General features: G+C 42.8%; 1 long non-coding RNA gene and 1 pseudogene across 1 annotated transcript; one reads left to right on the forward strand and one right to left on the reverse strand.

Moving 5' to 3' along the window:
- The first annotated feature begins 10917 nt into the window (after positions 1–10917).
- Positions 10918–15293, forward strand: LINC00442 (long intergenic non-protein coding RNA 442). Its single transcript, NR_026852.1, has 4 exons — positions 10918–11798; positions 11933–12102; positions 14092–14223; positions 14339–15293. It is a non-coding gene; the product is annotated as a long intergenic non-protein coding RNA 442 (long non-coding RNA).
- On the reverse strand, positions 18146–21995 carry USP24P1 (ubiquitin specific peptidase 24 pseudogene 1; annotated as a pseudogene).

Consider the following 22639-nt stretch of genomic DNA (forward strand, 5'->3'; position numbering starts at 1 on the left):
TAAGTCCCCTGAGTCAGTTATATTCAAATGGAGTGTTACTTTCTTACATTCGCGTAGAGTTTCTAAATTTCAGCCCATCACCTGCACTGCTTTCCGGTTAAGTTTTAGGTCTTGTTTATGTTCCACATGCTATGTATGTGAGGTATGTTTAAGCAGCCTCCATTTCATAGAAACTCAGATTAAAGTTTGACTTTAGGCCAATTTCATTCCAAAATTCAAATTATGCAAAATTTGCTGCTAGGGCAGTGCCTATGTTCATCTCTATTTTCAGGCAGGTGGTTGTGCCGGGTTTCTAACGCATCCCATTCCCAGGTCCCTTAGGTGGACAGGCAGGGTCATTCCCTGAGACTTAACAACTGAAGTATGGATGAATGGGAATTTCCTGAAGATATCCTGTGTGACTATCATTTCATGCTTTTTAAGTTCACTTTCCATACCTGAGAAGATGTGAAAAGATGTTTCTTTGAGAAAAGAAACAGCTACAGTGGCATTAGGGGAATGAAAATTTTATAAAAGCAAGCAAGACATGTGTGGGTATGTTTCAAATACTGATCTTTAACAAAGAGTAAAGACATGAAATAAAGGAATATACCAGCCATCAGAAGAACATTATAGGACATCAACAATTAGAGAATATTATTAAGACTAAAATGAGAGGGAAAATTAAAAGATGGATGTTGGGGAGATTAAGACAGGGAAAATCAACAAAGGGAGGGCCAAAAACAAAGGGCACTGTGTAAAGTTTAACTCCAGTCATAGCAGAAAGATGCCTCCCTCTGAGGCCAAGGAACGTGCTGAAGGTTAGATGAAGAGAGAGGGAAATGTTTGAAGAATTATGACACTACTGGACAGGCATTTTCACATTGGCCTCAACACCACATTGGAAAAGCCACTCCCTCAAGGACACCTGAGGTTGACATGGCCCCAGTCCTGTCCCTCCTGGGCAGCTCTTCACACCAGCTCATAGGACCTGGAGCTCACCTGCACTCGGGATTGGGGCAGCCTCCTCCTTCCCTCCGCTTCTCCTCTCCTGGCTCTGAGCATTCACATCTGATTTGGAGAGCTGATAACCTGTTTGCAGAAAACACGTACCTGAATGTTTCGTTCTGTGCTGAGATCTGTGCCTGATCTTCAAGGGCAGGGAGGGGAGGAACACAGCACACATGAAAGGGCAATGCCAGGAAGAGCGCCCTAAATACCAGAGACATGGGAGGCCCCGCCCAGAGCAGGAAGGGCACCTGGTCTTGAGCTCAGAGACTGGAGGGTTGTTTGCTGATGCCCATGCCCAGGGCTAAAGACAGAATGCACGGCCAGGCATGGTGGCCCCTGCCTGTAACTGCAGCACTTTGGGAGATTGTGACTTGAGGCCAGGAGTTCAAGGCCTGTCTGGGCAACATACAGATCTTGTCTCCAAAAGAATAGAAAATTAGTTAGGCGTAGTGGTGTATGTCTGTAGTCCCAGCTACTCAGGAAGCTGAGGCAGGAGGATCACCTGAGCCCAGAAATTTGAGGCTGCAGTGAGCTGATTGTGCCACTGCCCTCCAGCCTGGGTGGCAGAATGGGACACTGTCTCTGACAGGCTGCTAAACCTTCTCTTTTTTACAACCAGGATGGGATTGTTTCCACAGTAGATTGGATCTTATTTTCAAAAGATGTCCAATAGGTAAAAGCTCAATCAGAACCCTGAGAGGTCTATTTTAGAGGAACAGTCTCTGCTATGTTTACTACTGGGGTGTTAAACTCCACCATGGTTCACAGAGCAGAACGCTTGCAAGTAAATACTTAACACAGTTTTTCCTCCTTTTAACAAATATCCATTGAGTGTCCAGCATGGTTCTGGGTGTTAGATATGGAGTGGCAAAAAAACCCCATAAATTCTTGGTCAGGAAGTGGGCATTCTCATGAGGTGACAGACTACACACATAAGTAAATAAATAAGCAAATTCTGTCCAGTTAGCTCTAAGTGCTATAGGGGTGCAAAGCGGTCCTCCCTCAGCTAAGGTTTTGCTTTTGCGGCTTCAGTTACCTGCGGTCAACTGTGGTCTGAAAATTAAGTATCACGCAATAAGATATTTTCAGAGACCACATTTACATAACTTTTATTACAGGGTATTTTTATATTATTTGATTGTATTATTAATTTTTATTGTTAATCTCTTGCGTGTGCCTAATTTAACCCTTATCATGGGTATGAAGGTACAGGAAAAAACAGCATAGAAAAGGTTCGATACTCTCATTTCAGGCATCCACTGAAGATCTGGGAACATATTTAAACCAGATGAGGTGGGGACTACTGCATAGGAGCCAGGGCAGAGATGGAGTGGAATGTGGGGAAGCTATTCTGGGTAGCATTTGATGAAGTAAATGAATGTTGACAGATTCAGCCACAGATGCCACAGGACTCAAGATCTCCAGCATCATGCCTCTGTGCTTCCTCAGGGCTATGTCCAGTAGTGCCCACTCCTCCCTGGTGATGTTCACAACCAGATCCTTGAAGGGCACCGACTTTTTGAAGGACACCGTGGTTCAGACTGTGCTACTCCCCAACAGCATCGACAGGCTGCACAGTCAAGGATGACATCCCTGAGAAAGCATGTATGAAAAGCTCAAACTGACTGGGCGCAGTGGCTCACGCCTATAATCCTCAAACTTTGGGAGGCTGAGGAGAGTGAATCGCTTGAGCTCAGAAGTTCAAATCTAGCCTGGGCAACATAGTGAAATCCCTATCTCTACTAAAAATACAAAAAAAAAATAGCTTGGTGTGGTGGCAGGCATCTGTAGTCCCAGCTACTCAGGAGGCTGAGGTGGGAGGATGGCTTGAGCCTGGGAGGCAGAGGTTGCAGTGAGCAGTGATTGCACCACTGCACTCCAGCCTAGGTGACAGAACCAGACTCGAGGGACAGCAACAGGGACAGGGAGAGGCAAGAGGGAGAGGAGGAAAAAAATAAAAGGAAAGAGACAAGAGGAGATGAGATGAGAAGAGAAAATGTCAAACCCCGTTCAGAGACCGGGCCGTGGTTTGGTTCCTCTGGGCTGACTCGGCAGAGGTCTTTTCGATACATCCAGAGATACACTCTTATAAGTAACAACTTATTATAAGGTCATGCCACAGGAGGTGCAGTGTGCAATAACCTGGCAACTCCACAATAAAGTACCAATTCTACTTCAGAGTGATCATAAAACTTGTACTAGGAAATTTATAAATAAATTCTACTCCCCTCCAGTGTTAATGAAATCTACAGGCTAATCGATAGAAGGAACACCCATGTTCTGCCACTTATCCACTGTGGTGATGGGCAAATTATCCCGATATGAATCTCTCAATTCTCATCAGTGAAATGGTTTAACAACTTGTATTAGTCTGTTCTCATGCTGCTAATAAAGACACACCTGAGACTGGGTAATTTATAAAGAAAAAGAGGTTTAACGGACTCACATTTCCACATGGCTTGGAAGGCCTCACAATCATGGTGGAAGGTGAAAGGCACTTCTCTCTTTTCTTTTTTTTTTTTTTGAGATGGAGCCTCGCTCTGTCACCCAGGCTGGAGTGCAGTGATGCGATCTCGGCTCACTGTAAGCTCCGCCTCCCGGGTTCACGCCATTCTCCTGCCTCAGCCTCCCAAGTAGCTGGGACAACAGGCACCCACCACCACGCCTGGCTAATTTTTTGTAATTTTTTATTAGAGACAGGGTTTCACCATGTTAGCCAGGATGGTCTCGATCTCCTGACCTCATGATCCACCCACCTCGGCCTCCCAAAGTGCTGAGATTACAGGCGTGAGCCACGACGCCCAGCCGTGAAAGGCACTTCTTACATGGCAGCAGGCAAGAGAGCATGGGAGCAAAGCAAAAGGGGAAACAGCTTATAAAACCACTGATCTCATGAGACGTATTTACTACCAGGAGAACAGTATGGGAAAAACCACCCCATGATTCAATTAACTCCCACCGGATCACTCCCACAACACATGGGAATCATGGAAGCTACAATTCAAGGTGAGATTTGGGTAGGGACACAGCCAAACCATATCATTTCACCCCTGGCCCTTCCCAAATATCATGTCCTCACATGTCAAAACTAATCATGCCTTGCCAACAGTCCCCCAAAATCTTAACTCATTTTAGCATTAACTCAAATGTCCACAGTCCAAAGTCTTATCTGAGACAAGGCAAGACCCTTCCACCTATGAGCCTGTAAAATCAAAACCAAGTTAGTTACTTCCTAGATACAATGGGGGTATAGGCATTGGGAAAATATCCCCATTCCAAAATGGGAGAAATTGGCCAAAACAAGGGGCTCCAGGCCCCATGCAAGTCTAAAATCCAGTGGGGCATTCAAATCTTCAAGATTCAAAATGATATCCTTTGACTGCATGTATCACATCCAGGTCACACTGATGCAAGAGTTGCCAGGGTCTTGGGAAGCTCTGCCCCTGTGGCTTTGCAGGGTACAACCTCCCTCCCAGCTGCTTTTATGGGTTGGTGTTGAGTGTCTGCAGCTTTTCCAGGTGCGCAGGGCATGCTGTTGGGAGATCTACCATTCTGGACTCTGGAGGATGGTGGCCTTCTTCTTACAGCTCCACTAAGCAGTGCCCCAGTGGGGACTATTTGTGGGTGCTTCAATCCCGTATTTCCCTTCCACACTGCCCTAGCAGAGGTTCTCAATGAGGGCCCTGCCCCGGCAGCAAACCTCTGCCTAGACAACCAGGCGTTTCCATACATCCTCTAAAACCTAGGGGGAGGTTCCCAAACCTCAATTCTTGACTCCAGCCTGGGTCACAAAGTAAGACCCTGTCTCAAAAACACAAAAATGTTCAGTGAGTTGGAGGTCCCAGTGAAGCGAGAGCAGTTAAGTGATTATACTCTAAGGACATGAGGTGAGGGTCAGAGAAGAGCATGTCTGCATCAGTGATTTCAGAAGTGGGATAATTCTTGAGGAATGAAAGGGACTTGAATGTAGGTGATGAATTTTGGTGACAAAACACAAACTATGCATATAACAAAGAGGAATTTTGCTCCGAATATATGAGAAAAACTTCACAATAACTCAAAGAAAAGACTTTATGTTTTCACTACAAGGAAATGCTGTTGTTTCCTGACTTTTTAATGATCGCTATTCTAACTGGCGTGAGATGGTATCTCATTGTGGTTTTGATTTGCATTTCTCTAATGACCAGTGATGATGAGCTTTTTTTCACGTTTGTTGGCCACATAAATGTCTTCTTTTGAGAAGTGTCCGTTAATATCCTTCACTCACTTTTTGATTGTTTTTTTCTTGTAAATTTGTTTAAGTTCCTTGTAGATTCTGGATACTAGGCCTTTGTCAGATAGGGAGATTGCAAAAAATTTTCCCCCATTCTGTAGGCTGTCTGTTCACTCTGATGATAGTTTCTTTTGCTGTACAGAAGTTCATTAGTTTAATTAGATCCCATTTGCCAATTTTGGCTTTTGTTGCAATTGCTTTTGGTGTTTTAGTCATGAAGTCTTTGCCCATACCTATGCCCTGAACGGTATTGCCTAGGTTTTCCTCTAGGGTTTTTGTTTGTTTTTTGTTTTTTGTTTTTTTTTTTGGTTTTGGATCTTACTTTTAAGTCTTTAATCAATCTTGAGTTAATTTCTGTATAAGGTGTAAGGAAGTGGCCCAGTTTCTGTTTTCTGCCTATGGCTAACCTGTTTTTCCACCACCACTTATTAAATAGGGAATTCCTTCCATATTGCTGCTTTTTGTCAGATTTGTTGAAGATCAGATGGTTATAGATGTGTGGTGTTATTTTTGAGGTCTCTGTTTTGTTCCATTGGTCGATGTATCTGTTTTGGTACCAGTACCATGCTGCTTTGGTTACTGTAGCCTTGTAGTATAGTTTGAAATCAGGTAGTGCAAGCCTTCAGCTTTGTTCTTTTTGCTTAGGACTGTCTTGGCTATATGAGCTCTTTCTTGGTTCCATATGAAATTTAAAGTAGTTTTTTTCTAATTCTTCAAAGAAAGTCAAAGGTAGCTTAATGGCAAAAGCACTGAATTTATAAACTACTTTAGGCAGTATGGCCATTTTCACATATTGATTCTTCCTATCCATGAACATGGAATGTTTTTCCATTTGTTTACGTCCTCTTTTATTTATTTGAGCAGTTGTTTGTAGTTCTCTTTGAAGAGGTGCTTCATTTCCCTTGTAAGTTGTATTCCTAGGTATTCTATTCTCTTTGTACCAATTGTGAATGGGAGTTCACTCATAATTTGGCTCTCTGCTTGTCTATTATTGGGGCATAGGAATGCTCGAGATTTTTGCAAATTGATTTTGTTAGACTTTGCTGAAGTTGCTTATCAGCTTAAGGAGTTTTGGGGCTGAGATGATGAAGTTTTCTAAATATATAATCATGTCATCTGCAAACAGAGACAATTTGACTTCCTTTCCTCCTATTTCAATACCCTTTATTTCTTTCTCTTGCCTGACTGCCCTGCCCAGAACTTCCTATTCTATGGTGAATAGGGGTGATGAGAGAGGGCATCCTTGTCTTGTGCCAGTTTTCAAAGGGAATGCTTCCAGCGTTTGCCTATTCCGTGTGATATTGGCTATGGGTTTGCTTTAAATAGCTCTTGTTATTTTGAGTTATGTTTCATCAATACCTAGTTTACTGAGAGTTTTTAACATGAGGGAATGTTGAATTTTATCAAAGGCCTCTTCTGCATCTATTGAGATAATCATGTGGTTTTTGTCATTGGTTCTGTTTATGTGATGGATTACGTTTATTGATTTGCGTATATTGAACCAGCCTTGCATCCCAGGTATGAAGCCAACTTCATCATGGTGGATAAGCTTTTTGATGTGCTGCTGGATTCATTTTGGCAGTATTTCATTGAGAATTTTTGCATCAGTGTTCATCAGGGATATCTGCCTGAGATTTTTTTTGTTGTGTCTCTGACAGGTTTTGGTATCAGGATGATGCTGGCCCCATAAAATGAGTTGGGGAGGAGTCCTTCTTTTTCTATTGTTTGGAATAGTTTCACAAGGAATGGTACCAGCTCCTCTGTACGTCTGGTAGAATTTGGCTGTAAATCCGACTGGTCCTGGGTTTTTTTTCATTTCTAGGCTATTAATTACAGCCTCGATTTCAAAACTTGTTATTGGTCTATTCAGGGATTTGACTTCTCCCTGGTTATGGCTTGGGAGCGTGTATGTGTACAGGAATTTATCCATTTCTTCTAGATTTTCTAGTTTTATTTGCATTGAGGTGTTTATAGTACTCTCTGATGGTAGCTTGTATTTCTGTGGGATCGGTGGTGATATCCCCTTTATCATTTTTTCTTGTGTCTATTTGATTGATCTCTCTTTTCTTATTAGTCTAGCCAGCAGTCTGTCTATTTTGTTAATCTTTTCAACATACCAGTTCCTGGATTCATAGATTTTTTTTTTTTTGAAGGGTTTTTTGTGTTTCTATCTCCTTCAGTTCTGCTCTGATCTTAGTTATTTCTTGTCTTCTGCTAGCTTTTGAATTTGCTTCTCCAGTTCTTTTAATTGCAATGTCAGGGTGTTGATATCAGATCTTTCCAGCTTTCTGATTTCCCTCTTAACACTGCTTTAGTTGTGTCCCGGAGATTCTGGTACGTTGTCTGTTCTCACTGGTTTCAAATAACTTCTTTATTTCTGTCTTAATTTTGTTATTTACCCAGTAGTCATTCAGGAGCAGGTTGTGGTTTTGAGTGAGTTTCTTAACCCTGAGTTCTAATTTGATTGCACTTTGGCCTGAAAGACTGTGTATGATTTCCGTTCATTTGCTGAAGAGTGTTTTACTTCCAATTATGTGGTCAATTTTAGAGTAAGTCTATGCGGCGCTGGGAAGAATGTATATTCTGTTGATTTGGGGTGGAGAGTTCTGTAGACGTCTATTAGGTCTGCTTGGTTCAGAGCTGAGTTCAAGTCCTGAATATCCTTGTTAATATTCCTGTCTCCTTGATCTGCCTAATATTGACAGTGGGGTGTTAAAGCCTCCCACTGTTATTGTGTGGGAGTCCAAGTCTCTTCGTAGATCTCTAAGAACTTCTTTTATGAAGCTGAGTGCTCCCATATTGGGCGGGTGCATATACATTTAGGATAGTTACCTCTTCTTGTTTCATTCATGTCTTTACAAAAATTATGTAATGACCTTGTCTTTTTTGATCTTTGTTGGTTTAAAGTCTGTTTTAGCAGAGACTAGGATTGCAACTCCTGCTTTTTTTTTTGCTTTCCATTTGCTTGGTAAATATTCCCTGATCCCTTTCTTTTGAGCCTATGTGTGTCTCTGTACGTGAGATGGTCTCCTGAATGAATACAACACACCGATGGGTCTTGACCCTTTACCCAATTTGCCAGTCTGTATCTTTTAATTGGGGCATTTAGCACATTTACATTTAAGGTTAATAGTGTCATGTGTGAATCTGATCCTGTCATCATGATGCTAGCTGGTTATTTTGAACATTAGTTGATGCAGTTTCTTCATAGTTTCCTTGGTCTTTATATTTTGGTGTGTTTTTGCAGTGGCTCCTACCGGTTTTTCCTTTCTATATTTAGTGCTTCCTTCAAAAGTTCTTGTAAGGCAGGTCTGGTGGCGACAAAATCCCTCAGCATTTGCTTGTTTAAAAAGCATTTTATTTCTCCTTTCCTTAGGAAGCTTAGTTTGGCTGGATATGAAATTCTGGGACGAAAATTCTTTTCTTTAAGAATGTTGGATATTGGCCCCCATTCTCTTCTGGCTTGTAGGGTTTCTGCAGAGAAATCTGCTGTTAGTCTGATGGACTTCCTTTTGTAGGTAATCTGATCTTTCTCTCTGGCTACCCTTAACATTTTTTCCTTCATTTCAACTTTGGAGAATCTGACGATTATGTGACTTGGGGTTGCTCTTCTCGAGGGAGTATCTTAACAGTGGTTCTATTTCCTGAATTTAAATGTTAGCCCGTCTGGCTAGGTTGGGGAAGTTCTCCAGTATAATATCCTGAAGTGTGTTTTCCAACTTGGTTCCATTCTCCCCAACACTTTCAGGTACACCAATCAATTGTAGGTTTGGCCTTTTCACATAGTCCCGTATTTCTTGGAGGCTTTGTTCATTCCTTTTCATTCTTTTTTCTCTAATCTTGTCTTCATGCCTTATTTCAGTAAGGTGATATTCAATCACTGATATCCTTTCTTCCACTTGACAGATTCGGCTGTTGGTACTTGTGTATGCTTCACGAAGTTCCTGTGCTGGTTTTTTTCAGTTCCATCCCGTCATTTATGTTCCTCTATAAACTGGTTATTCTAGATTGCAGTTCCTGTAACCTTTTATCAAGGTTCTTAGCTTCCTTGCATTTGGTTAGTACACGCTCCTTTAGCACAGAGGAGTTTGTTATTTCCCACCTTCTGAAGCCTACTTCTGTCAATTAGTCAGTCTCATTCTCTGTCCAGTTTTGTGCCTTTGCTGGAAAGGAACTGCGATCATTTGAGGAGAAGAGGCATTCTGGTTTTGGAATTTTCAGCGTTTTCTGCTATTTTATCTTCATCTTCATGGATTTATCTACCTTTGATCTTTGATGCTGATGGTCTTTGGATGAGGTTTCTCTGTGGGTTTTTTGTTGTTGTTGTTGTTGTTGTTGTTGATGTTGATATTGTTGCTTTCTGTTTCTTAGTTTTTCTTCTAACAGGCCCCTCTTCTGCAGGTCTGCTGCAGTTTGCTGGAGGTCCACTCCAGACCCTGCCCACCTGGGTATCAACAGTGGAGGCTGAAGAACAGCAAAGATTGCTGCCTGCTCCTTCCTCTGGATGCTTCATCTCAGAGGGGCACTGGCCTGATGCCAGCCAGAGCTCTCCTGTATGAGGTGTCTGTCGACCCCTGTTGGGAGGTCTCTCCCAGTCAGGACGCTTGGGGGTCAGGGACCCACTTGAGGCAGTCTGTCCCATAGCAGAGCTGGTGCACTGTGCTGGGAGAATCCCACTTGTCAGGATCAGCTGCTGTCTTCAGAGCTGGCAGGCAGGAAAGTTTAAATCCACTGAAGCTGCGCCCACAGCTGCTCCTTCCCCCAGGTGCTCTGTCCTAGGAAGATGAGTTTTATCCCTAAGCCCCTGACTGGGGCCTTTCCTTCAGGGATGCCTTGTCCATTGAGGAGGAATCTAGAGAAGTAGTCTGGCCACAGCCGCTTTGCCATACTGGGGAGAATTCTACCCAGTCCAGACCTCCCAGCCTCCTTAGAACTATGTTTATGGTTCCCACTAAGAGTAAGGCATAAAACCACAGTGGCACAGGGATCAAGAGGTTACTACGAACAGTAAAGCTGTGCTCTGAAGCACCGCCTGCAGGTAGGATCCTGTCTAGAGAGCCAGGAGGAAGGGAGGCCACTGGTCAGCATTCTGGGCTATTTTTGGCTGCCTCCCACCTGCCCCTCCTTTTGGCCCAAGTTCTAGTCCCACTTGCTTTGTCACCCACTGCCTGTTTATGGCAGCTTCCTCTCCGGTCTTCAGTGTCCTCATTGAGCCAATGAATACAGCATCGCTCCTCTAATCACATATATTCATGCAGCAGTATAAATGATGTGAAAGTGCTTTGAAAATCATAGTAAGTGAAAGACTGGGGCACTGACTTCTTCCCATTTTCCCAAGTCCTGCTTCAGAACCACTCTCCTAGGCCCCCAGCCCCTAACTCCATCTTGGCCCTTTGATCAAACTTTGCCTACTGAGGGGCATAACTACACGGTATCCCCAGAAAAGGGACAAATATTACAGGCCTTATTTCTTCTCTTTGCCATTTCCCATGATCACTCTTACATCTAGAAACTGGGACCCTTTCTCTGGTTGGTGGGGCCCTCTCCCTAGACCAAAAGACAGGGGCACACAGGCATCATAATGGGCATTCAAACATGGTATGATGCAAGGGGTGGGCATGTTATAAATGCTGGGGTAGGTCTGGGCACCTCCCAGTTCCTCATCTGGACTCACTGGGAGAAGTGATTCACTAGAATTCTCATTGGAAGAAATGACAGGAAAGCTCCCTCCAATATCTCAATTTCCACCCCACTCAGTACCTGGTTTTATGATTCCACACCCTCCTAATCCATCCTGCCCTCCTAACACATCCCACTCTCGTAAGCCATCCCACTCTCGTGCCCGCGAATCCCTCCCTCTTCTTCCATCTGCCAAGCCCCTTCCTCCTCTCCAGAAGTACGTGGATTTTTCAGTTTTCTGCCCTAACTGTTATCCCACTGTGGCTCATACCTGCCCTCCCCACTACCCTACCCTAATACTCTACCTGCACTGCTCTTCTGCTATTCATTACAAACCATCCATTTGTCAATGCTCTAGTCCCAGAACTCTTTCTGGTAACTCCCTTATCGATCACCCTAGCCCTCCTTCTAGCCCTACTGGTCAACGCTTGGGTCCCAGAACTCTTCCCTGTGATTCCCTTATCCGTTCTCCTGTTCCTCCTCCTAGCCCTCCTTGCCAACGCTCTGGTCCCAGAACTCTTTTCTGTGACTACCCTGTCTGTCCCCCTACTCCTCCTCCCAGCCCTACTTGCAAATGCTGTCGTCCCAGAGCTGTTTCCTGGGACTCCTCTACCTATGCCTCTACCCCTCCTCCTTAGCCCTACTTCTTTCTAGTACCCTGTACTCTAGTCCCCAGCCCCCAGCCCTGCCATCCCCAACCAGACCTTATGGTTCACAAGTCTCATCTTGGAGATGGTTTCCCTGCTCCCGGGGCAGTTCTGGAACAGTTCAGGATGGCCAGGACTGTGGATTCCCAGCAGTCTGACCTCGTGGACAAAGGAAATGCAAGACGATGGCAAACCAGCATTCAGCCTCAGTAAGTCACAAGAGCCCTTTTCCATGGCCAGGTCCTGGTCACCCTACTGTCACCTGTATTTTGCCTTTATTCCCATCCTGTTAATCCTCTTCAGAGAACAGAGATACCTCTAACAATTTTCTCTCTCTAAACAGTCTGCTCCTTTCCTCCCCTGCCTCATCAGCCAGCCTGCATGAGCCTCTACATTTGTTCCTGGCTTCTCCATGGAACTCGGTCTACAGCCACAAAGCAAACCACAGGGCCAGTGACAGAGAAGGCAGAGGGGAGTGTGGAGTGGGAAGCACCTAACCTGTTCTCAAGGAGGGTAAGTCCTGCCCTGGGTTCAAGTGAGTGCAAGAACAATGACTCCTTGAGAGCTCACAGGGCACAAGGCCCCCGCTACCGGTGGAAACTCAGTTATGGTTTTGTTTATGTTTTTGCTGCCTGGCTTATCCCAGAATTTATTTGTATTCACCCTAGGATTCTAGAACCATGGTAGGGACATTCTGTCTTTGAGAAATGTCTCCTGCAGTAGGGGGTGGGGCCCTCCACTGTGCTCTTATCACAGCACTAAGGGCTGAGCCTCTTTCATCAGCTGCTGCTACCTCACAATGGGGAGGGAAGCAGAGTCTGAAAGCAAGAGCACGTCCGGATCCCACTCAGGTGCCTGCAGCACATGAACTGATGATGCTTAAAAAAGGCCCTTCTTCCATTCGGTTATCTAGATTCAACATCTAGAATCTCAATCAAAATTCCACTATATTTTTGAGAACTTGACAACTGAAATTTATATGGAAATGCAAAAAGTCAAGGTTAGCCAACACTCTCCTAAAAAGACATTTTTCCCTACCAGATAATCAGAACTTATGAAAATTATAGTAATTAAGATAGCATAGGAGTGGTAAAAGCATAGACAAGTAGACAAATGGCACAGAATTGAGACCAGAAAGAGACTCACACACATGTGGACACTTTCTTTAAGACTCCTGCAGCCGACAGAACAGTGGGGACAGGACTGTCTTTTCAAGCAATTGGTGCTGGGTCAGTTGGATACTCATTTGGAAAAAAAAAAAAATCAAGTGAGATTCCCACTTCACACTACACTCAAAAATCAGTTAGGTAGAACACAGGTCTAATATGAAACAGTAAAAGCAATAAATATTCCACTATTGCTCTGCCCATGCATGGTTACTGAACACTTGAGATGTGCCAATAAGCGGAAAACTTGCATTGGAATGTTAAACAGCAGGAAAAACCAATGCTACATATCTCAATACTTTTTATATTCAAAGTTTGAAATTATAACAATTTGTATATACTGAGTTAAATAAAACATTATTAAACTTAGCTTTATTGGATTCCCTTTTCTCTCTCAATATGGATACTAGATAATACTTAGTCTAGATAATATGTGTCTCACTTCATAATTTTTCTTAGACGGCAGTGATCTAGAAGGTAACACAGAAATACATCTTCAGGACATCAAATTAGGAAAAGATGTCATGAATGGCATTTATGAAACAATAACCATAAAGGGAAAGACTAATACATTAGACCGCACTTAAATTTTTGGTCTCAAAAAGACAGCATTAAGAGACTAAAAAGGCAAGCCACAAAGAGAGAAAAGATGTAGCACACACAATTCCCAAAATAATAAACTCCAACAAACTAATAGAGAATAGACACCCAATCAATAGTAAAACACATTCAACACTGTCTCCCAGACACCCAAACGCATCCTGAAGCACCCTGTGTCCCAAATGAATGAATGAACACATGGTGGGGAAGAGCACAGGCTTTACAGTCAGTGTTTAGGTGCTCGCTAAATCCAGGGGGTGGCTAATTTCTCAATGCTAGGCATACTTTTGGTTCTTTTAAAGTAAACTGTATTACATTAAGCATCTAGAAGAGTCATTCATAGGAACAAAAGGTAAAATGGTGGCTGCCAGGAGCTGGAGAGACAGGGAAATGGAGAGTTGTTCAACGTGTGTGAAAGAAAACGTTCTGGAGACCGGTTTCACACAACGTGAATATACTTAACACTATTGTACTATATACTTAAGAATGCCTAAGAAGGTACATTTTATGTGTAGTTTACAACAAACATTCAAAAAACTCTAAAGTCACTATGTTACTTAGAATGGGAGAGAGCTATTCCATCTACATTATCACATTGGTGATATCTGCCACATAGGCCAGAATCTTCTCTGATATAGAAAACCTCCAGTTTTCTGAGATACACACAGAGTTTGGATTCTGGACATCTGCTTTTAAGTGGGGAGAGGCTTCTGACCCCTTACAAAATCTCTTTTAGGGAATGATTGGCCAAGATGAGTTTCAATCGTATGTCCACTACCTCCTGGCCTGCCACTTGGCTGTGAGTCCTTTCTGGGCGGTGTCCAGGGGCGGTTCCAGTGATCAGGCAGGTGCTGAGAAGCACAGGCAGGTGAGTTAAGCACTGGAAGAAGGTGGGTGTGAAATAAGATCCTGAGAGGTGGGAGGGGACTGGGCAGGGTGGGTGACAGTAGGGGAATGGGTGACAACACCAAAATCTACTCCAGCAGGATGAGGGGATACTTGCCAGGAGACAGCATGGGATGCCATTGCCTAGAGTTGGCAGAAGGACCAGGAGCAGGCAGGCAGCGAGAGAACACCCAGAGTGCTCCTGATCGGACCAAGCTGCATGGAGGCCACAATGGGACACCTGAGGGAAAAGGTGACCCCAGATGAGGTCCATCGGAACCAGATATTGTGGGAACTGTCAAACCAGACCAAGAAGTATGGAGGCCACAGAGGGACACCCCAGGGAGGTGACCCTGGATGAGGTTCATCAGAACTAGATCTTGTGAGAACTACCTGACCAGACCAAGCAGCACAGAGGCCACGGTGAGACACCTGAGGGAGAAGGCGAACCCAGATAAGGCTCATCGGGTTCCGATCTTGTGAGAACTGCAGAAGGCGACCACAGATGAGGCTCATCAGAACTAGATCTTGTGAGAACTGCCTGAGCAGACCAAGCAGCACAGAGGCCACAGTGAGACACATGAGGGAGAAGGTGAACCCAGATGAGGCTCATCAGGAACAGATCTTGTGGGAACCAGAGAGGACAACCCCGGATGAGGTCCATCAGAACCAGATCTTGTGGGAACTGCACTTCAAAGTGCTACAGACCCACAAACACTACATGCAGCATCACATGAATGCCCTCTGCAAGGGTGAGGGGCCTGGCAGGATGGAGGAAATACCAGAGAGGGGGGATGCGCCCTGAAAAAAAGGAGAGCCCTGGGGACTGCGGAAGGTGGAGTGTGCGTCTCATTAAAGGAGAAGATACCTTCTCACACCCTACCTCCTTTTATAGACTTTAGGAGCAATGTCTTTGGAGGGGGCCTCACCTACATCACATCAGATGCATTAAATATATTAAAAAGCATTCACATCTCATGAAACATTTTCACTGTAGAAATGAGAGGTTGAGTAGCATTTTCTAATTTTGCTTTTGAAATATAACTGTATTTTGCAGGATTGTTGTGTTATGGTTTTGTTGGTATTTTGGTTTCTTTCTAACAAGCTGAAGGTTTCTACTCAGGCTTCTGATCTCATACACCTTTGGAAAGCTCAGGGTTGTAGAAGCCTCTGGGCCCATGGTGTTCCCCTGATGAGGCAGCCCTGTCCTCCTTTCTCATCACTGCACGTGCTCCATGGGCGGTCATATCTGGGCCTGTCACATCAGCTCCTTAAATGAAGCTTCAGAACCACGCACAAAACCACCTCCCATATCCCTTCCCTGGACAATCCACAGGCACCTCACATGCACTAGGTGGAAAGCCAGGTTACCCTGTACCTTCTTCCGCACCCTCTGCTACTCTAGAAGGTCTTATGTCTCAGCACAAGGCACCACAGTCATCCTCTTGTGGGCAGCAAGCCACCCAGGTGCCGAGGCAAGAGACCGAGGGCACGAGCTGTTCCAGTATAATAAAGAAAATATATAAAATAAGAATAGGTATACTAGATGTAGATCATAGATATGATTATATGTGAGTATCATTAATGATTAGTTTGTAAAAATTAGTCTTTATTCCAATATTATAACAATCTTCACTCTACAATCATAACCTAGGAAAAACCAGGCCATACAGAGATAGGAGCTGAAGGGACATGGTTAGAAGTGACCAGAAGACAAGAGCGTGAGCCTTCTGTTATGCCCAGACGGGGCCATCAGAGGGATCCTTGGTCTAGCAGTAACGTCAGCGTCTGGGAAGGTGCCCATTACCTAGCAGACTGTGATCTAGCGGTAGCATCAGTGCCAAGGAAAAGCACCCACTACTTAGCAGACCGGGAAAGGGAGTCTCCCTTTCCCTGGAGGAGTTAGAGAAGACTCTGCTCCACCACCTCTTGTGGAGGGCTTGACATCAGTCAGGCCCACCCACAGTTATCCGGAGGCCTAACCGTCTCCCTGTGATGCTGTGCTTCAGCGGTCCTCCCGTTTCACTTTCATGTTCCACTCCATACACCTGGCTCTGCTCTATAGATAGCAGTAGCAAAATTAGTGAAAGTATTAAAGTCTTTGATCTTTCTGAGAAGAGCATAAAGAAATAATGACGTAAGCTGTCCTCTCTCTCCGCCTCAGCTACCTAATAGGGAAGGGCCCCCTGTCCAGTGGACACGTGATTCACATGACCTTATCAATCATTGGACATGGCTCACACTCTTTACCCTGCCCCTTTTACTTTGAATCCAATAAATATCAGCGCAGCCAGGCATTCGGGGCCACTACCGGTCTCCACATCTTGGTGGTAGTGGTCCCAGGCCCAGCTGTCTTTTCTTCTATCTCTTTGTCTTGTGTCTTTATTTCAACAATCTCTCATCTCTGCACACAGGGAGAAAGACCCACAGACCCTGTAGGGCTATTCCCTACATCCTCTCTCCCACATTAGAAGCCCAGGAGTCATCCCCAAGGTCTCTCCCTCACTCCACACATGCAGGAAGGCACAAGTCCTGTTGATTCCTTCACATTTCTCTCACCTGCTCCTCCCTCAGTGTAAGACTCCACTATGCACGTGGAAGCATCTGCACCTCCATCCACATGGTTTCACATCATTTCACCCTAACCTGCCTCTCTCTCCATCCTCACTCCCAGAGCCTCAGCAAGGCCCTGCTCTCTCCTCCCTGGATTAGTCTGATGGGCTTTTCAACTATTCTCTTTCCCTCCTGCCCATCCCCTCCACCCCTGCTAGTTAGAGCTATGTTAGTAAGTCAACTAGATCACATCAATCCCCATGTAAGGTCTTTCCATGGCCCTCACAGCTCCTGAGCTTAAATCAATCAGCACACATGGCACCTTTAGGTCTGGCTCTGGTTTCTGCCTGGATTCACTCCATACTCTCCTCTACCTTTCCACTCACATCTCTGTTTATTTATCTAAATTATTTTTGAGATGAGGTGTCACTCTGTCACTCAGGCTGGATTGCAGTGGTGTGATCACAGCTCACTGCATCCTTGAACTCCTGCCCACCTAAGCCTCTGGAGTAGCTGGCACTATAGGCACACACCACCAAAACTGGCTATTTTTTTTCCCAACTCCATCTCCAACTCCTGGCCTCTAGCAGTCCTTCCACCTCAACTTCAGCCTCCCAAAGTGGTGGGATTACAGATGTGAGCCACTGCACTCAGCCATATATATATATATATATATATATGTGTGTGTGTGTGTGTGTGTGTATATATATATGTATGCATGTATATATATGTATGTATGTGTACATATACATACACATACATACATATACACATACATACATACATATATACACATACATATATATATGTACATATATATATATTCCTTGCTTCTTGCTTTTGAGCTTTTGTTTAGTTAGTGTATAAAGTCTAGACTGGGTGTATAGTTCTGAATTTAAATGCATGCTCTATGACACTAGCTGTTCACTTCTTTTCTGAACCTGCAGTTTTTCCATCTGAAAAATGGAAATAACAACCCACCACTCCGTGAGTCTTTTAAGAATTGAAGATTTGCTTAAAGCATGTAGCTCAGAGGAGGTATACAATAAGTAATGTCTATCATCGCCCTACTAGTCATTACCTAATGATCATGAGCATTCACTTGTTCTTCTCGCCAGGTAAGTTAATTTCATCAATGTATTTCCTTACTGCCTACTCCCCATGCCTCTGTTTATCGGTGTCATCTCACATCACACAGCAGCTCTGTGATGGTGCTGGCCAATCTTGAGTGTGTATTCACATCTGCGTCCTTAGCACTCCATGGCACTAGCTCTACAGCTATCTCTACAGCCTATAACTAATCCAGAAAAAGACCAGCGGGAGTGCCTGGATCTACCAGGTACACTCTGACATCTACCTGAATTCTCCACTTTAGAATGTTTCACATGATTCTTACCTGGTATATTCCAACAGGCATTTTCTCCAAATTGTCCCTTCTTCTTGCCTTTTAAAATCAGCTTGGTTAGAACAGACATCCAGGCATTATTAGGCCCATGGGACCGAGGAGATGACTGACACAAAATTGCTGGTGAAGATGGAGCTGACTAGACAGGATTAGAAAACTTTGTCTAGCAGAAAGTGGCTATTGCTTTAGTAGTTTTAAAACTTGCCAAACTCACATGAACAGGGTATTAGACTTAAATTGTTTGATCATGATACAATGTGTATGTGTATCAAAACATCAAACTGTACCTCATCAAGTATATAGAATTATAATGTTTTCATTAAATAATTAAAAAGTATCTTTCAATTAGTTTGGAGAACTGAGTGACATTATAAAAAATTAAAAATTTGCAGACAAATTTTAACTTAACTGGCATATGGGATTTAAAACTGAGTGCCGTAACTTAGGAAGCAGGAAAATAAATTCTTCCTACATGTAACTATGAGGTATCTTTTCCAGTCATTACGACCATTCAAGAGCAGTGAAATAAACTCATTTTAGAGCCACACATTCAAAGTCTTATAATAATTATTGAACAAAGTTTTCAAACTTAATAAACCAGACTTAAACATAGTTTCACCTGAAAAAGTAAATTATATGCTTTCCTGATTCAATATATTAAAAGGCAAATTCACTGACCACAGGGTCTTTAAAAAGCAACAACATTCTGAGAATGTTGACATAGTGCTATGTTTTGGACATGAAGTGTCATTCAATAAATGATGCCAATATGTTTAAAAGAACCTCAAGTGTAAACTTTTTTAAAATCTCAATTCTAGAAGGAATTAACTTATGTGCATGTTTCTAAATACAAAGTAAGTTATTGCCAAGAAAATAATGACCAGGAAGCAGTAATAAAGAAAAGTGATTTATTTTAATTTTAGACTTATTTTAGGAATTTCTATCTAGCTTAGCTAATTATCTTCAAATCCCAAATACTATATTCTCAAATATCACACTAACACCAACTAAATCACAGAGCAAGTTTATGGTATGAAATAATAAATCTTCACTAATCCAAAGGGAAAACAGCTGGGAACTGCATCAAGCAAACTTCCTCCCAATTTATTACTAAATAAGATGGCTACAAAGATAAGGAAGCTACATACCTCCCTCACCATTTGCCCTTAGGGAATTTCCTTGTGGGCAAAGGATGAACAGAACACAATGCCATCTCTCTGCTCACCTGAGACAAATGCACATCTCATTGCTTCTTCTGCTCTATCATTTCACTAAGCCAGACTAAGGCATAAGTGAAGATTCTTCTACCCTCCTCTCACATGTAAATTGTGTATTCAGAAAAAGGCTAATCAGAGACTCAAGAGAATGCAACCATTTGTCTTAATCTACTTATGACCTGGAAGCCCCCCGCCATGCTTTGAGTTGTCCCACCTTTCTGGACAAAACCAATGTCCATCTTAAACATATTGACTGATGTCTCACAACTCCCAACAATGTATAAAAGCAAGCTGTACCCCAGCCATCTTGGGAACATGTCCTCAGGACCTCCATAGGCTGTATCACGTCCGTAACCTTGGCAAAATAAACTTTCCAAACATTGAGACCTGTCTCAGATATTTTGTATTCACAATTGAAAAGAAACTTACAGAGAGAAGTCCTCAGCTTTCTGCTGTACAAAGCTGACTCGAGTCTTCTTTGGTGATCCCTGGCATTCTCATCAGACCCCCCTGGTGGAAGAGCATGCGGGCATTATATCATTGACATACACAGGTGTATGTGTTTGCTTTACAACACAGCATTAAGAAGTCTAATGAAAAAGGTTTTCTTGTCTTGACAATCTAAAACAAAGGGTCCATGAATCCAGCAAGCAACTACTCTGTAAATGTGTTAAATGCAAAGTGTAAGTAAAATGAGGGTCTTTGTAGGTTACTGCTTAGAGTGGAAGGTAGGGGACCTCAGTTCTGGCAATAAAATCAAACCCTCATTTGGAGGTTGATATTAGGGTGAATTCTGGCAAGGATACTTTATTTAACCCTTAAAAATTAGCACTGAATGCATGACTACAGTGGCATAATACAGAACTCTAATATAGTGAATCTAATACAGGTAGAAATTTCTAAATGCCCCTAGAATATCTCAAAATTATTTGCTAAGAAATGCTAAGATCTCTGCAAAATGGCTTTCAAATATCTAACTGTGGTTGGGTTTTTTGATGTACTTTCCCTGATACATTTTTTTTTGTCCTGGGAGTGGGGGGATTGGAGGTAAAGACTGCTTTGCCACACGAATGAAAATGGTGTTAAAAGTACAGGTGCTAAAAATATGTTCTCTAATTAATTATGCTCCTATATAAGCGAAAAGGACATTTGAAAATTTTAGTGGACAACCACTGAAACTATTTTTAAGGTTAGATTTCTTTATTAGTGTCTCTTTGATATTCATTTCATCCCCTTCCAGTATACCTCCCCTCCCCCACCTACTCATGGTTCTATAGCTACAGCAGCACTAGAAAAAGTCTATTCCATTTTTAATTTAAAGAATCCTACTTCCAATTTTGTAGAAAACTAAATTAAAAACCAAAACTAATGGAAACTATCCATTTGTATACCCTTACCTTGATCATAAATTTTTGGTCTATATTCTTCACCAAAGCAGTCACACTCCAGGATCTCATTATTTAGGTTGAATTCTTCTGTCATTGTGTCATTTACTTTATACCACTTTCCTTTTCCACAACCCCTAGAACTCAGAGATCAGACAAACACATTAGGGTTAAAAACAAACACCCTCATCCCCAGCATTTATCTCTATGCAATGTCTACAAATAAAGCAGGTGACCACGATCTTAAACATCTAAGAAAAATGTGGCAATAATTATTTCCATTTCTAAAATAACTTTTCAAATTGAAGGGGTAAAACCAGTTACATCAAGCTTTAAAAATTCAGAATGAAATGAGGTCAAAGAACAAAGCCAACATGTCCTGCACCATGAAGGTGAGTGTGGATGATAAGGGAGGCAGAGAGAGCAGGGGAGAGACTGGCAGCCAGTGAGCAAGCACCGCCAGAGACCCTCCCAACCTGTCCTTCATAAAGGAATAGCAGGGGCCTGTGTGTGCTGCCCATTGTATATGATGACACTGAGTGCACAGTCCTCCGTGAGGGCACTTTTTTTTTGTGGGGACCCTCCACCTTCCTGGATCTATACTTCACCCATCTTCACCAATTCCCAAAGAGAAATTCTGCCAAGCCATTCTAGAAACTGTAAGGCTCCATGTTCAGCATCCAGGGAAACTATGTTAATGGAAAAAGACCATATTAATGTGGATTAGTAACACAGCAGGACTCAATTAAGTTAGACAGAATTCAGAGGATGTGATTTCCTAGTTTAAGCCCAGAGTAACTGCCTCTTCAATTTAATTACAAAATCTAAGAAAGGGCAATTCTGGGAAAGCCTAGTAGCCCCTGATTTGAGCATTAGGCATTTTCCTTCACAGCAATGACAAGACTGCTCTCTAGAAATGAGTGCTCCTGTACAGAGATCTGCCTGTTCCATGAGCAGCAGCTGCTTCAGACAAGGGGCTCCTCATAACACTGGGGCCACAGCCTTTCACATGGTGAACGAAACATGAAAACTGAAAAAATTATTGAGTGAGGAAAGTGTTTTTAGAAAATTCAGAAGGAGAAAAGTTACCTTTATTTGTTCATCATATTTAGTGGAGCAGCCAAATCCAAATCTCATTAGGTCAATTACTAAGATACTAGGTCAAAACTTAATACAGGTCCTTTCCACCGAAACAGAATTCACAAACACAAGCAAATACAAAGAAAAGATAAATCTAACTATGAATAAAATCCAGCTTGCTACAAAGTAGTTATCCAATTTTCTTTTCTGTTTTTTCCCTATAATTTAAAATTGACCCACCTGATAGAAACTTGGGGTTAGTGACTGGAGTCTAGTGAATCAGCTGGGCTAAGCAACAGTCAAGGTGTGGGAACGAATAGTTGGGAAATCTGATCTCTAGTCTTGGCTCGCTACTCATCACAGTGTTTACCCCCCAAAAAAGAATAAAATATTTAGGAATTAATTTGACCAAGGAGGTGAAAGACTTGTATAATGAACACTATAAGGAAGACATGAGTAAATGGAGACATAACCCACGTTCACGGATTGGAAGACAATACGGTTACGATGTCAATACTATCCAAAGCAATCTACAGATTTACACAATTCCCATCAAAATCACAATGAGTTTTTGCAGAAATAGAAATATCTTTTCTAAAATTCATAAGGGATCTCGAGGAACCCCAAATAACCACAACGATCTTGCAAAAAAAAAAACAAAGCTGGAAGATTCACACTTCCTGATTTCAAAACTTAATACAGAGTTATAATAATCAAAACAGTGTGATACTGGCATAAAGACAGACATATAGACCAATG

Source organism: Homo sapiens, chromosome 13 (assembly GCF_000001405.40).
Source record: "Homo sapiens chromosome 13, GRCh38.p14 Primary Assembly".
NCBI classification, from domain to species: domain Eukaryota; kingdom Metazoa; phylum Chordata; class Mammalia; order Primates; family Hominidae; genus Homo; species Homo sapiens.